We start from the raw sequence: 16,919 nt of genomic DNA, 5'->3' as shown, positions 1-16,919 counted from the left end.
CATTAAATTCCCAATAATGAATTACATAGAAAAAGAAGGCAGAATGTTAAAAGAAAAAAGAAGTGTATAGCTATTAAACCTCTGAGAACAAACCATTTTTCTGTCTTTCTTTCTTTTTTTTTTATTTTAGACAGAGTCTCACTTTGTTGCCCAGACTGGAATGCAGTGGCATCACCTCGGCTCACTGAAACTTTTGCCTCCCGAGTTCAAGCAATTCTCATGCCTTAGCCTTCCCAGTAGCTGGGATTACAGGTGTGCACCAACACACTCTATCAACAGAACATGATATGGAGATACTAAAAACTACAATTTTTACATTATTTTGTATTAATACATATTCATCTGTATTACTTTGGTTTCCTTCCTCTCAATTTTAAAAAATGTGATGGGATAAACTTATTCAGAATAGAGCATAATTATTATCTAGGGTCGACATTGGGAATGAAGGGTAGGCAAAAACATGGAGGCCAGGGGCGGTGGCTCATACCTAAAGTTCCAGGGATTTGGGAGGCCAAGGTGGGAGGATCACTTAAGGCCAGAAGTTGAGACCAGCCTGGGCAATATAGTGAGACTCCATCTCTACAAAAAATTTAAAAGTTAGCTGAGCATGGTGGTACATGTCTGTAGTCCCAGCTACTTGGAAGGCTGAGGTAGGAGGATGCTTGAGCCCAGGAAGTGGAGGCTACAGTGAGCCAAGACCATGCAATTGCACTCCAGCCTGGGTGACAACATGAGACAGTCTCAAAAATAAATAAATAAATAAATGAATAAAGAGTAAAGACTCATGGGATAAAAATTTGTTCCAAAGAATTTACAAAACACAACTGTGATCAAATCACCGCTGGGTGCATCTCAATGCAGTTCAGTATTAAAAGCCTGTGGTTGGAAGCTGAGGGGGATGGTCCCCAGCAGAGGCTGTTTTGTATCAGAGAAAGATAATAAAGGGCAGGAGTCCAAGGACCCAGCTGTGAATGTCCCCCACCCTCAGCAGAGTCCCTCCCAGCTCTGGCACTGGACTGTACCTTGCCCTTTGTGATTCACTTCCTTTGCTGCAATCACTTTATTCAAGACTGAAGTGAGTGGCTCATTCTCCCCAATCACGTGTGATGTTATCAAAGGCGACATGATGAGCTGCCTCTGGCGGATGTAGGTTTCCATCGCAATTCTTGGGAAAGAGAAATAAGAGGTAAGGTGGGAGGGGGAGAAAGGAAGTCTCTGCAGCACAACCTCAGATAATGGTGAGTCATATAGGAATAATTTGGAGATATCAACACTAAGTACCCCTATCTTTCTATCTTTCCTTTATTTTTCCATTTTGTGTCATCTTAAATACTAAATTCACCTTGGAAATGACTTGAGGCAAAGAGGGAGGAAAAAAACCCAAGAGTACACAAAACTGGTGACCAACGGTTAGCAACTAAAATCAGAGGCAACACTCCATGCTCTTTCAGAGGCAGAAGAGGCTGCTGCAATAGAATTGAAGACAGAGCACCCACGGAAGGGGCAGGAGCCCCCAGGTCTACTTCTGCTTGATAGTGAGCTCTGCAAGAGGCTCCCTTTGGGCCTCAGTTTCTCCATCTGTAAGAGATGGGCTGGGATCGCATGCCTGTTAAGGCTCCTGTCTAGTGTCAACCCCCTATATATAAGCACAGTGTATATGCCTGGTGTCTGGTAGATGTTCTCAGATTTCCATGTGATGACAAGCTAGATCTTGGCATAGGTGCTGCCAAACAAGCTCCACTTGAGTGACCTTATCAGGCTGCGGCTTGTAAAGGGCGATCAAAGAACCAAATACAGCCTCCATTCTACTGAAGGCAGAAGCACTATAAGCAACTGCACATCGGCCTGGTGCAGTACAATAGTCTCCTGTCTCCTCTGTCCACTGCATGTAGGCCAGTTTTCTCTGCAGGGTTCCCTGTACCCTGACAATAAAACACACTGCAATATGTGACTGGCAAATGGGATTGCTATAGTCTTGAGTTCCTGTTTTTTACAAATGATTCTCTCTAAATGGACTTGCAGAATATACATACAACACTCTCCTACTGGAAAACACTGTAAAGTTTTTGAAGTAGATTATAGTAGCGCTTGCCATAAATCTTAGGCATTCAATGCCAGAGGCTGCAGTCTGCATCATGAATACTCCACTGCGGCTGTTGGCTGCACAGTGAGCAGTAATGAAATTAAGGCAGGGTTCGTCAGGGACTCAAGGCACGGATTATACAGTGGGGACAATCTCAGGACTAAGTACTGTGATATGGTTGCTGGAGGAAAGCTGGTTCAGAAATTAAGCAGGAGGCACATCACCACCAGCAAATATACAGATGGCTGTTTCAGACACCTTTCATATCCATGAAGGTCACTCCTATTATGTACATATAATCTTAAATACAAATATAACACATTCATAGTACTATAATATATATGGTACATTTATATTTATTCAATATACAGTCATATTCCTAACAATGTTTCTGTCAATGACAGACTGCCTAGATGACCATGGTCCCATAAGATTATAACGGAGCTGGCCAGGCATGATGGCTCACACCTGTAATCCCAGCACTTTGGGAGGCCGAGGCAGGTGGATCACCTGAGGTCAGGAGTTTGACACAAGCCTGACCAACATGGTGAAACCCCGTCTCTACTAAAAATAGAAAAATTAGCTGGGTGTAATGGCATGCACCTGTAATCTCAGCTACTCAGGAGGCTGAGGCAGGAGAATTGCTTGAACCCAGGAGGTGAGGTTGCAGTGAGCGGAGATCACGCCACTGCATTCCAGCCTGGGCAACAAGAGCAAATCTCCGTCTCAAAAAAAAAAAAAAGATTATTAATGGAGCTGAAACATTTCTATTGCCTAGTGATATTATAGCTGTTTTAACATCTCAGCCCAACTCATTACCTTTTCTATGTTTAAATATGTTTAAAGACACAAATAGCACTGTGTTACAACTGCCTGCAGTATTCAGTACAGTAGCTTGCTGGACAGGTTTACAGTCTAGGAGCAATAGGCTATACCATACAGCGTAGGTGTGTAGTAGTCTATATATTCCGGGTTTGTGTAAGTACACTCTATGTTGTCTACACAATGACAAGAGAGCCTAGTGACATGTTTCTCAGAACGTATCACTGCCATTAAGTGATGCATGATTGTATTTTATTTAGCATATTTATAAATGTAATTAACAAATTAACATTGTATTACATTCAACATATTTATTTATTTATTTTATTTTATTTATTTATTTTTTTTTCAGACGGAGTCTCGCTCTGTCGCCGAGGCTGGAGTGCAGTGGCGTGATCTTGGCTCACTGCAAGCTCCACCTTCCAGGTTCATGCCATTCTCCTGCCTCAGCCTCCCGAGTAGCTGGGACTACAGGCGCCCGCCACTGTGCCCAGATAATTTTTTGTATTTTTAGTAGAGACAGGGTTTCACCGTGGTCTCGATCTCCTGACCTTGTGATCTGCCCGCCTTGGCCTCCCAAAGTGCTGGGATTACAGGCGTAAGCCTATGCGCCCGGACCTAAATTCAACATGTTTATTAAATATACTTAAACATATTTATATATTATACAATACATATTTATATAGGTATGTGCATGCAGTGTTTTATATTATGCACAAAACAAGAGCAGCATTCATGGAGATGAAAGTTATCACATAATTAACTTTAGCACTGTGCTACATAAAATATTTGTCTCGTCTTGGAAGGTCAATATATAGGTGGTAGCATACAAGGTAAGTGCATTTTATTTTTTAACTATTTTATTTTATCTATTTTTACCTTATATTTTATTTTATCTGAGACAGCGTATGGCTCTGTCACCCAGGATGGAGTGCAATGGCCATATTTTAAAAAAATAATTCATAGCAGCCTCTGGATAAAAGAGACAAGTACTACTTAGCATGGGCTATTTGCACTATTATGTTTAGAAACTGGTCCGAAGGTGTGGACTTAACATTGAAAGATTAAAATTGTTATATTTTATATATTACATATAATACATATTTTTTGTATAAAAAACAGACAACAGGAAAACAAAAACAGGAGCAAAATCACCAAGAGTTACATCAACAGAAATAATCACTGTTAATCATGGAGTACATTTTTTGAAATATCTAAATTTTAAGACTTCTAATGCATTGTAACAATTCATATTCTCTATAAGTAATGTATGTCTCCTTATATCTACCCAAACACTAAAGTGTGGTCAAGATAAAAAATAAACCTTGATGTTTCGATTTGCATTTCACTCATCCTCAATAAATGTACAACACCATTTCTGTATGTGTGTGTATTCCCTTCATGTCCTTATTAATTTCTATTAATTCTTTATATATTACAAATATTCATCCTTTCTCAAACACAGTGCAAAGACTGTATCGATTTTTTTCTATGTATTAAGTTCTTTACAGTTTTTGGGTGGTTAAACCTATCAATTTTTCTTTTTTTGGCTGAATCTTTAAAACGGCCTCCCTCCCATGACTACCACATAAAACTTCTATTTTCCCGTTAATATTTTAAGATTCTAGCTCTTACAGTTGTATGTTTAATCATCTAAAATTTACACTGGCATAAGTTGTGAGACTGGAATCTAACTTCGGGATCTTAAATGGCTAGCTAACTTTCTCCAAAAACCTTTTTTTTTTTTTTTTGCATAATGTATCTTTCTCCACTAATTTGTGATATCATTTGTAAAAAGTGATATATTAACTCAAATATATGACTCTGGCTGGTTTGTGGAATTCTCAGTTTGTTCTACTTGTCTGCAGTGGCAGCTGCAAGTGAGCTGAGATGATGCCCTCTGACTGGCACGATGGCCCCTGGTGGGACTTGGTCCCGGCAATGCTCTTGGCCTCCACTAGGCCTCCACTGCCTGTGCAGGTGCTGGAGCAGGTCATGACGTTCACACCTGCACTTCTTCAGAGTGACACGGCTTGAATCTGCTCCCAACAGCTCCTCAATGGCCTACCCATGGCTCCAGCTCCTGCAGCTCAATATGGAGGGCCTCAGTAAAGCTCTGCAAGGATCCTTTCACATGCTCCCAGGCTGGCTTTCCCCCAACATGCAGGAACACTGGCCCATGGGTGGGTCAGCCCTTCACTCTCTCATCTCCTAAACCCTCGCTACAGACAGTGTGGCCCTCAGACCAGCTACATCAGCATCACCTGGGAGCTTGTCAGAGGCAGAACTCCCCTGCAGCCTAACAAGTTCCCCTGATTCATATGCATGATGCAGTCTGAGAAGCCCTATGCTAGCCCACGTGATTCCGTGTCATCCATGATGCCTGTTTCATGCAATAGACTGCACATATATTTTGGCATTGCTGACACAAGGACGGCACCCTCTCTGCATTCCAGAGCAGACAGATATGTGCCCTTTTATATTCCTTTGATGCTTTCTATAGAATCAGGAAAGTTCAGTTTACCCTCTTCAATGGGAGTCCAACATCAAGGACTTTGAATAAAGTCTTCTGTTCAGCTCCTATCTGACAATCTTGCAGCTTAGAATCTTTCCTTCTCTGAGAAAATGGTTTCTAACACCTGTTTCTGTGTTAAAAGACAATTGAATGGCTAATCCAGGTCTCAAGTCACCTGGGACACATGCCAAAGTACTTACTGCTGAAAGGGAATAAAATGCTGCTTTTCTTCATCATCCACCTTCCCATGTATGATATCAGTAATATCCATCACTAGGAAAAAGATAAACTTCATTAAAGAAACTAATTGCTTCATGCCTCAGTAAGTTACTATGGAAAAGGACAGTATCAGCAAACATCAAACACTGCAGGAAGAAAGGTACTAAGCAGGGACTTTTTTAAAATTTCTTTGCCAATGGTGATTCCCAGTGTACCTAGCCCAGCAAAAAAGTGACTCATGAGGTGCTAAGGAAGGGGTCTGGGTTTTACTGGATCAATTTTGCAGACTACCCACTTTAAAAACTCTACAAGATCGAGTTGCTAAATTCTTTTGCTTTTTATTAAAAGACAGTCTTGCTCCTTTGCCCAGGTTGGAGTGCAGTGGCACAATCTTGGCTCATTGCAACCTCCACCTCCCCTGTTCAAGCAATTCTCCTGCCTCAGCCTCCCAAGTAGCTGGGACTACTACAGCACATGCCACCACGCTTGGCTAACTTTTGTATTTTTTTAGTATAGACAGAGTTTCACCATGTTGGCCAGGCTGGTCTTGAACTCCTGACCTCAGATGATCTGCCTGCCTCGGCCTCCCAAAGTGCTGGGATTACAGGGATGAGCCATCGTGCCCCGCCCGAGTTGCTAAATTCTTGAGAAATTTAACATCAGGTTACTTTTTAGTAAGTATGGAACCAAAGGTCCAGGAGCAGAATTATAACATTTCCTTGATCGCTTTCAATCTATGAGCAACCAAAATGTCAATGTAAGGCCCAAAATGTATTTCCTCAATTGAACAAACTACAGAGGAAGATGCTGGGCGTTTAAGCAGGTTCTGGGGTTTGATGTAAGCCAAGGAGGATCTCTGAAAGCATTTAGAAACAAACACAACATTGTCTTCGAAGAGTAAATTTCCTAGACCGGCAAACCACTTCCCAGCGAGTATTTTATTCCACTAAAATCAATACGCAGACCCAGACAGGGAGGATTCCAATAGTCACAACTTAGGTTCTATTGTGTATAAGACACAGTGTTGGGCACTAAGGGGGAAAGAAAGGAGCGTGGGCCAGGTGAGGACACAGAACCCATGCAAAGAAAACGGGCAGTGCCAGGCAGTAAATGCTGCGTGTCTGATACTGACAATGACAACGTGATCCATCTCTTACTATCTCTGTGCCTTCTTCCACCTTTCTTCCTCCTTTCCTCCTTCTCTTCCTCTATTTTCAAAATTGTGGTAAAACACACATAACATAAAATGTACCATCTTGCCCATTTTAAAGTATTCCGTTCAGTGGCATTACGTGTATTCACATTGTTGTGCAACCATCATCACCTTCCATCTCTAGAACTTTCTCATCTTCCCAAATGGAAACTCCGTACCCATTAAACACTAACTCCCCATTCCCCCTCTCCAGCCCCTGACACTCACCACTCTATACTGTCTCTGAGAATTTGACTACTCTAGGTGCCTCATATAGGTGGGATCATACAATATTTGTCCTTTTGTGTCTCACTTATTTACTTAGTGTAAAGTCCTCAAGGTTCATCCACGCAGTGTGTAGCATGAGTCAAAATTCCCGTCCTGTTTAAGGCGAGTATTATTCCATTGTGCGTACACACCACAGTTTCTTAGTCCATTTATGCACTGATGGGCACCTAGGTTACTTCCATCTTTTGCCTATTGTGAATAATACTGCTACAAACATGGATGCACAAATATCTCCTCCAGACCTTGCTTTTGATTGTTTTGAAGCAGGGCAGCTGGATCATTTGCTAGTTCCATGTTTAATTTTTTGAGAAATCGCCATGCTATTTTCCACAGCACTGCACTATTTCACATTTGTCTCTGGGTCTCTCTTGTACCTGCCACTCCAAAAGGTCTTCGGAGTCCACAGGTGTGCTTCTTGCCTTCCTTCAGCTCCATATGGCCCACGCGGACAATCTGGCACACAAGGCTGACGCGGGGCCGGATGAGGTCCATGCTGCTAAGGTCCTAAAGGGGCAGAGAAAGTGTGAGAGGAGGTGGGGCTGGACCACTGTGTCACCTGTGTCTCTTTTTTCTTTACCCTCTACAACAAAATCCTGTTCCGACCTTATTTCTCAATGCTGAAGTATTAGAACGACTCTCTTCTCCCCCATCTCCATCCAAGAGCTATTATGGCATCAGAAAACATGACTTTGTGCTTGTAAACAAGTGCTTTTTTGTTCCCCAGTTCCTACTTCAAATTTACAAATCAGATCACAGCCCGTTGGAAGTCTCCAGTTCATCAGCTTAAGCAGGGTATTGAAAAATCAGGGCCCTCATCATTGCGATTGTATATCTTTGGACGTATCTCAGCACAGGATGCATTTCAACATCAAATGAAGTAAAAACTTGTGTAACACTGACATTTATTGGGTATCCACACAAGTCTGTGACATTTCATTTCCTCTTCAAAACAAGCCCATGAGGCAACTATGAGACAGGCACTGCTTTATGGGACTATTCACCTGATTTATGAGAGGTCTCTATTGAGAGCTTATCAGTGTATACTGAATCATGACAGATGTGTCAATGAAATACCTATTTCTCTTGCAGCTAGGGTTCTACACTTGTTTGTATTTTTTTTTTTTTTGACAAGGTCTCCCTATGTTATCCAGGCTGGCCTTGGCCTTGAACGTCTAGGCTCAAGGGATCCAGCCTCCTTGGCCTCCCAAAGTGCTGGGATTACAGACATGAGCCACCGCGCCCAGCCATTATTTGTTTTCTTAAGGATGGGTGAGTAAACCCAGGAATGAGCTGATATCTCTCATTCAGTTCGACTTCAGAAAAAAAACTAATCACATCTCAAATTGGTTATATGAAACAGCTGCCCAAGCTCTCTTTACTGAAGCAAGAATCACTTTTAACATAATCATTCCAAATCCAGCCCCTGTAATTTAGTTAACTCAGGTCTCCAAGATATACATCAATGATAACGTCCACCCTGCATTTCTACTCTAGGTCTGCAAGGCTTCTGTTAATGGAAAAATAAAGACTCCAGGTGACTAGTTACATATATTGTGGCACATTGATAGAGTAGCCCCCCCTTGTCTGTGATGAATATGCTCTGAGACCCCTGGTGGATACCTGAAACCAAAGACAGTACCGAACTCTATATGTGCTGTTTTTTCCTATACATAAGTATTTATAAAGTTTTACCTTTTCACTTAAAGGGAGCACGCTTCTCTTTGGCATATCCGAATTGCCAGCATCACTCCTCTTGTACTTTAAGGTCATTTTTCCTTTTTTAAATTCTTTAGTAGAGACAGGGTTTTACCATGTTGCACAGACTGGTCTCGAACTCCTGAGCTCAAGTGATCCTCCCACCTTGGCCTCCCAAAGTCCTGGGATTACAGGCGTGAGCCCCTGTGCCTGGATTGATTATTGTTTATTATGTGTCTTACCAATCAGGACAAAAGCTGCTTTTTTTTCCCCGATTTTTCACGGATGTATCTCAAGTGTCTAAATCAGTGCCTGGCATTGAAGTACATGTTGAATAAATGGGTGGGTTATTCCTGCTAGGCAGATTGATGATTTTTCCTTTCATCTTTTCATTTTGTATGTTTTCCACATATTCATTATGTGAATATGCTCATATCACAAACAAAGAGAATGATTAAACAGAAGGGAGGACTTACTGTAAACACTGCTTGGAGGTTATTGAGCTTCTCTATTTCCTTGGGCATCCCGTTACTGCCCCAACGAATTAGATAGTTCTCACTGGCAAAGGAAAAAAAAATTGCTCTTAATGAGAGGCTAACTGGGGTTGGAGATGAGGCTACCCTCAGTATAGACTTACAAGGGAAGGAGGAAAGGCCAGAAATGCTCAGTGAAATTCAACAGGCCGGTGTGAAAACAGCTGAGTTGGGAACTGGGACCACACAGATGGCCACTGCTGGGTGTCCTGGCATTAGAGAAGCGTCCCTGCTGTGGCTCCGCAAGACATGCCCCACACAGATGCAGGAAACCCACTGCTCCTGGTGGGCACAGACATGGTAGAGCTTATGGGATGCTACGGTCTGGGTTGTCCTTCCATCTCAAAATCTTTGAATAAAAGTTTCAGCTTTGCTAAATTAATAATTTAATTTTAGGCAGGGCGCAGTGGCTCACGCCTGTAATCCCAGCACTTTGGGAGGTCAAGGCGGGCGGATCGCCTGAGGTCAGGAGTTCAAGACCAGGCTGGCCAACATGGTAAAACTCCATCTCTACTAAAAATACAAAAATTGGTTGGGCATGGTGGCAGGTGCCTGTAATCCCAGCTACTTGGGAGGCTGAGGCAGGAGAATCGCTTGGACCCAGGATGCGGGCCTGTACGACAAGAGCTAAACTCTGTCTCAAAAAATAAACAATAAATAAAAGATAAAAAAAGAATTTAATTTTATAACAGTCATTCCAAATCTATCCCCTGTAATCCACATTGACATTAAAAAATTTTTTTTAAAGAAACAAATTGTCAGCAATTACTTTTAACTATCTTCTCAAAAATAAATTCTCCATTTTCTTAGCTGCTAAACAGTAGTACCACTGTAGGGCTGAACAATGCCCATCACACTCCTTAGAGTCTTAAAAAAAATGTTTTTTAATAGACATTATTTTCTTAGAGCAGTTTTGGCTTTGCAGCAAAGTTGAGCTGAAAATAGAGTCCCATAACATATTCTCTCCCCTCAGACACAACCTCCTTTGCTACCAACATTCCCCCGACCATAGTAGTAACATTAGTTAAAACTGATGAAGCTACATTGACACATCATGTACCCAAAGCCCACAGTTTACATAAGGGTTCCCTCCTGGCATCGAACGTCCTGTGCATTTAGACAAATTCATAATGACATGCATCCACCACTATAGCATCATACAGAATACTGCCGTTGCTCTAAAAATCCTCTGTGCTCTGCCTATTCATCCCTTTCTCACCCTCCCACACACTGTTTTGAATTCTTTGTTCCCATCTCCAAGCCCTAATGAGTTTTATGTGATCTCTAAATCCCAGAGAGTATACAAACTGGCCTCATTGTTCTAGTAGTGACATATGAAGGCTTCATAGACCATATGATTTTACATTCTACTGCTTAGAAATCTTCCATGCTTCCCTATTTTCTCTTCTCAAATCTGGCAAAGAGCTGCCCGGGTAGGGGTCAGGGGAAGGCTGGGTATCTTTGTTAGGTCAGCAGCAGGGGATGTGGGTCTCTGCTACCTGATAAAAGTGGACTGGTCTGGGTCGTAGAGGGCCATAAACAACTCTGCATCTTCCCCGATGTTGCAGACAAAGTTCTTGAAGTTCACATAGAGGCCATAGGTGTGGATGGTACTGAAGATGGACTGGCCCCGCAAATCGAGGTTCTGCAGGATTGACTGAACAAAGAGGGAACAGAGAAAAACATCTTGATTTTGGCAAATGGGAAATGTTGGCAAAAATAAATAAATAAATAAATAAGCCTGCAAATGGCAGACAAAGCCTGGGCACAGTGGCTCATTCCTGTAATCCCAGTGCTACTAGAGGCCCAGGAATTTGAGAACAGCCTGGGCAACACAGCAAGCCTCTGTCTCTACAAAAAAATTTTTTTTTAATTAGCTGTGCCTGTAGTCCCAGCTACCTGGGAACAGAGGAGGCTGCAGTGAGTGAGTTATGATGGAGTCACTGAACTCCAGCCTGGGCAACAAAGTGAGACCCTGTCTCAATCAATCAGTTGATTAATCAATAAATAACAAAAAACAAAACACAGATAACACCCGAGAGGAAGTGCATTTGCTAAGAAAAAGTGTATGTAAGTGGACAAATGCAGTGAGCAAAATATAATCATTATATTTTCAGTGATCAAGACTGTCCTGTTCAGGGCCTTGAATCCCAGACATTCAAACAAATGCTGTCTAAAGGTGATAATTCCAGGGTTTTGGTAGCTCCAAGAGGTGCTTGTCTTACACAATAGCTTCTGAATGAAGCTCAAAAGCACAAACATCATGATCCATTATCCTGGATAAAGAAATAACTCTCATTAAAAACAAAATATTCCACTAGAAAGGCTTTACCTTCAGGTGTGGTTTGCCATTGGATTCAGAACACAAATATTATCATGACCATGCTAAAGAAGTAAACACTACAAACCAACAAACCAAAGAAAATTGACACAAATCTTTACTCATTAGAACAGAAAGACTGGAAAAAAAACATATTAAAATGTCAATATGTTTGGGTCTGAGAAATCAAAATATGAGTAAGTTTTTTTTTTTTTTTTTTTTAAGAGGCAGGGTCTTGCTTTGTTGCCCAGGCTGGAGTGCAGTGGTATGATCATAGTTCACTACAGCCTTAAATTCCCAGTCTCAAGTGATCCTCCTGCCTCAGCCTCCTGGGTAGCTGGGACTACAGTCATGCACTACCACGTCCAGCTAATTTTTTAAAAAATTTTTTGTAGAAATGGGGTCTCACTATGTCACTATTTGCCCAGTTGGTCTTGAACTCCTGGCCTCAAATGATCCGCCCACCTCAGCCTCCCAAAGGGCTAGGATTATAGGCATGAGGCACCATGCATGGATTCTAATTTTTCTTTAATGTCCAATTATTACCTTTGAAGTCTTTCAAACACTTTATTTTTAAATATTATTTATTTTAGCCTGGGTGCAGTGGATCATGCCTATAATCCCAGCACTTCAGGAGGCCGAGGAGGGTGGATCACCTGAGGTCAGGAGTTTGAGACCGGCCTGACCAATATGGTGAAACTCCATCTCTACTAAAAATACAAAAATTGGCCAGGCTTGGTGGCTCACGCCTGTAATCCCAGCACTTTGGGAGGCCAAGGCAGGTGGATCACAGGAGGTCAGGAGTTCAAGACTAGCCTGGCCAACATGGTGAAAGTCTCTACTAAAAATACAAAAATTAGCCAGGCGTGGTGGTGGGCGCCTGTAATCCCAGCTACTCGGAAGGCTGAGGCAGGAGAACAGCTTGAACCCAGGAGGCAGAGGTTGCAGTGAGCTGAGATCTGGCCACTCCAGGGCAACAGAGCAAGACTCCATCTAAAAAAAAAAAAAAATTACAAAAATTAGCCGGGTGTGGTGGTGGGTGCCTGTAATCCCAGCTACTCGGGAGGCTGAGGCAGGAGAATTGCTTGAACCCGGGAAGCAGAGGTTGCAGTGAGCTGAGACTGCACCACTGCACTCCAGCCTGGGCAACAGAGCAAGACTCCGTCTCAAAAATAAACATATAAATAAAAAATAAAAATAAATACTATTTATTTTGAAATTGCAATATATGCAATGAATGCAAGAGATTACACATTTAAGAAGTCTCCCTCCCACCCCGTTTTCCTTCCCAGATGCATCCATTAATAATTATTTCTTGTCTATTATTTCAGAGTTAGTCTATGTATATGCAAGCATAGATTTATATACATTTTTTGAAACACAAATAATAGCATTTCATATATACCATTATGGATCCTGATCTTTTCACTTAATACGTATCTTTGCGATCTTTCCATATCAGAACATATATATATATATACCTGCCTCATCCTTTCTGCTATGTTTCACTTTTAAAATGAGGACGAAAACTACAGAAGTAGTTTTGTTCTCAATGATTTCCCTTTCTTTCATTAAAAACCAAGGCAAAAATGGAACCTCAGTGGGCAGAATTTCACATTTGAGGAACTGTACCTTCTCTTCTTGGATCTTTTCCTCAATCCTTTTGGAGGCCACCTCATGGGCCTTGAAGAGGGCAATGGTGCTGGTTTCGTCAGGGTCTAGGATGTTCCCATTGTCATCTCGCACCACCAGATCTAACCCCAGCATTCTGGAGAGAAAGGAGTAGTCAGCTGGTTCTCCTCACCAGGGGCAGACTTTTTACTGAGGAGTCCTTGTCAAGGAGCCCAGAGGATCCATAGTTAGAAAGGGAGATGCTGGACAAGCCCAGGGAAGCACACCTCATTGACTTTTCTCATTTCAGTTTCTGCCACCTTTCAACACTGTTAGAAAACTCATGAGATGATATTAGCCAAAGTCGTAGAAGGATATGCAAATATGGTCCATAGACCCTGAAGAGAAAAGTAAAATTGGCACTGATTCTGACTAAATTCCTCTGGCCAATGCTTCTTGCCTGTAATCTTCTGTTATTATGAAGAGGAACTATGAAGTAAATAGAGCAAACAAAATTAAGATTCAACCTGTGTTTAATAAACACCTCCTTTGCCAGGCGTCGTGGTTCACGTCTGTAATCCTAGCACTTTGGGAGGCTGAGGTGGGCGGATTACTTGAGACCAGGAGGTCAAGACCAGCCTGGGCAACATGTTGAAACCCTGTCTCTGCTAAAAATACAAAAATTAGCCAGGTGTAGTAGCACACGCCTGTAGTCTCAACTACTTGGGGGGCTGAGGTGTGAGGATGGCTTGAGCCCAGGAAGTTGAGGCTGCAATGAGTCAGGATTGCACCACTGCACTCTAGCCTGCATGAGAAAGCAAGACCCTGTCTGAAACAATAAATAAATAAATAAATACATACACACATACCTCCTATATACACTTCACAAACATTGATTGATTATAATGCCATGAGGTAGGGTGGAGGTAAATGTTATTATTTCCATTTTATGAGTAAAGGAACAGACCAAGTGGGCGTGGTCTCACTGTTTATTACATTGCTATGAAGGACCAATGAACAATTATTTGAGGGCTTGCCTTGATTTCCTTAACTTAAGATGGTCATAAAGGAGACGAGTGAAGTAAGTCCTGGCTTGCTGCTATCTCATGCCCAGAGCATGGGCTCTGGTGTCATTTAGACCAGGATTTGAATCTTGGCTTGAATACTTGCTAACATTATGACCCTGGAGAATTTACTTAATTCTGCACAACTTTGGTTTCTTCATTTGTATACATTCCTTACCCTTCAAGGTTGTTGTGAGAATTTATTTATTTTTATTTTTTTTAGAGACAGCCTTAAACTCCTGGGCTCAAGCAGTCCCTGTCTCAGCCTTCCAAGTAGCTGGGACTACAGGCTTATATTACCATGCTCAGCTAATTAAAAAAAAAAAAATTGTAGAGATGGGGTCTTGCTATGTTGCCCAGGCTAGTCTTGAACTCCTGGCTTCAAGTGAGCCTCCCACTTCGGTCTCCCAAAGTGCTGGGATTATAGGCATAAGCCATTGCACCTGGCCCTGTTGTGAGAATTTAATAAGATAATGCATGTACAGTACCTAATACTATATGTAGCATACAGTAAACTCTCAGCTTAAGCATAAATGTTAGCTCTTGATATGGTTTGGATCTATGTTCCCACCCAAATCTCACATTCACCCCAATGTTGGAAGTGGGGCCTGGTGGGAGGTGATTGGATCATGGGGGTGGATCCTTCATAAATGGTTTAACACCATCCCTTTGGTGCTGTTCTCGTGATAGAGTTCTCACGAGATCTGGTTGTTTAAAAGTCTGTAGCCCCTCCCACCTCTCTCTCTCTTACTCCTGCTCTGGCCATGTAAGACGTGCTTGCTTCCCCTTCTGCCATGATTGTGTTTCCTGAGGCCTCCCCAGAGGCAGAAGCTGGTATGCTGCCTGTACAGCCAACAGACCATGAGTCAATTAAACCACTTTTCTTATAAATTACCCAGTCTCAGGTATTTCTTTATAGCAGTGTGAGAATGGACTAACACAGCTCTTATCGCAGCAACTAGTAGAAGCAAACACCTGGCTGTGTGTGAAGTTGTAGCTCTGCATATGCTTGGGAATACTAACGGCCATATCGTGGGTGCAATCCCTCCCCTCAAGGCTTTTGTGCCCAAAGTGCACACAGAAGTAGAAAAAATTTTGCTTAGGCTCAAGAAGTTGAGGACTGTGGTGGAAATAGGATACTGCTATCCGAATACCCAGCATGCATTCCCGGTACCAAAGAGCAAGACCGCTCAGGGATAACACTGCAATGTGCCAAGTCTTTGGGAAGAAAGCAAAAATGCCTCCTCTCCCTCCTCCCTGTTTTACAGCATCTCTATCAAGTGATTTGATCTGGCAGGTTCCTTTCCATGGCGGCCAGACCCACAGGCCACCCAGACTCATGAACAATGGCCATGCTGGCTGCTCGGAGACTGGATCAGGAAGGCACTGACACAGCAGCTCCATTTCCTGAGCGACTTCCAAGAGCTGGAACGGGAAAGAAGTCATGTTCTGCCGTTTGTGGGGTGTGAACATCCTGTGCCAGAGATCACGGGACCTCCAGGCCAATGTCATGGCAAGACACCAAATGACAGAGGTGTCCTATGTGCAATGGAGTTTCCTTATCCTACCCAATTGGCCTTTTATTAATTAATTAATTAATTTGAGAGGGATTCTCACTCTATCACCCAGGCTGGAGTGCAGTGGCATGATCTTGGCTCACCGCAACCTCCACCTCCTGAGTTCCAGCGATTCTTGTGCCTCAGCCTCCCAAGTAGCTGGGATTACAGGCATATGCCACCATGCCCAGCTAATTTTTATATTTTTAGTAGAGATGGGGTTTCATCATGTTGGCCAGGTTGGTCTCGAACTCCTGACCTCTGGTGATCTGCCCACCTCAGCCTCCCAAACTGCTGGGATTAAAGGCATGAGCAACCTCACCTGGCCTAATTGGCCTTTTAATAAGTCCTCTGACACCACAAGCCTGGCAGTGCAGCCACTGTAGGTATGGTCTTCTGGGTGGTCAAGTAATAGGGAAGGGCACTATTAATTCTTAACCCTAAGAAGGCAGCATTAGACATGGAGTCAAAAGTCTTGGGTTCAAATTTAACCTTTCCCATTTATTATCTATGTGACTGGGAAATAAATCACTTAAGCTCACTTGGTCTGTTTCTTTATCCATAAGATGTAAATAATAACAGCTACCTCAACCCTATGTTTTAAGATTATAATCAAGTAATGTATATGAAATGTACATAGAAGGTGTTTCCTAAATACTGCTTGAATCTGAATCCTGCATGGCATGTTCACTTCGGCTACTTCAGAATATAGTTGTCAGAGTCTATGACATTTAAATAAGTGGCATAATGATCTATATTTTAATAGGTCTCTGAGGGATATCCAAGAATTCCGACACTAGAAAAGCAAGGTAGAGGAGGAGGAAAAAAATCACATATGCACAAGTTGAAGAAATTTAGAAAATGAAACTAATTCCAAAAGAATCACCAATAACAGCTAACCGAGGAACCACTTTTGCCTTTTAAAAAAGTGCTGGTCAGGAGGCAAAAACCCCAGGCCACCACCAATTTGGATATAGGACTGAATTTCTCATTTTCCTAAAGGCAGTGATATCTGGAGCCT

General features: G+C 42.3%; 1 protein-coding gene across 1 annotated transcript in view, besides 1 other annotated feature; it reads right to left on the bottom strand.

Moving 5' to 3' along the window:
• The window catches only part of DOCK5 (dedicator of cytokinesis 5), a 231,023-nt gene that overhangs the window by 105,764 nt on the left and 108,340 nt on the right, over positions 1–16,919 (bottom strand). Inside the window, exons 7-12 of the mRNA NM_024940.8 lie at positions 13,300–13,435; positions 10,847–11,004; positions 9,291–9,372; positions 7,494–7,623; positions 5,621–5,693; positions 1,023–1,165 (exon numbers count right to left, since the gene is read on the bottom strand). Coding sequence (NP_079216.4) covers positions 1,023–1,165; positions 5,621–5,693; positions 7,494–7,623; positions 9,291–9,372; positions 10,847–11,004; positions 13,300–13,435 — 722 coding nt within the window. The remainder of the gene's footprint in view (positions 1–1,022; positions 1,166–5,620; positions 5,694–7,493; positions 7,624–9,290; positions 9,373–10,846; positions 11,005–13,299; positions 13,436–16,919) is intronic.
• Positions 901–1,195: an enhancer, noted in NCBI's record as "tiled region #10341; HepG2 Activating DNase matched - State 5:Enh". NCBI's record gives its function as "activates a minimal TATA promoter and a strong SV40 promoter by Sharpr-MPRA in HepG2 cells {active_cell/tissue: HepG2}" and the evidence as "EXISTENCE:reporter gene assay evidence [ECO:0000049][PMID:27701403]".

This window comes from Homo sapiens, chromosome 8 (assembly GCF_000001405.40).
Source record: "Homo sapiens chromosome 8, GRCh38.p14 Primary Assembly".
Classification (NCBI taxonomy): domain Eukaryota; kingdom Metazoa; phylum Chordata; class Mammalia; order Primates; family Hominidae; genus Homo; species Homo sapiens.
This window is presented reverse-complemented; position numbering and strand designations above follow the sequence as displayed.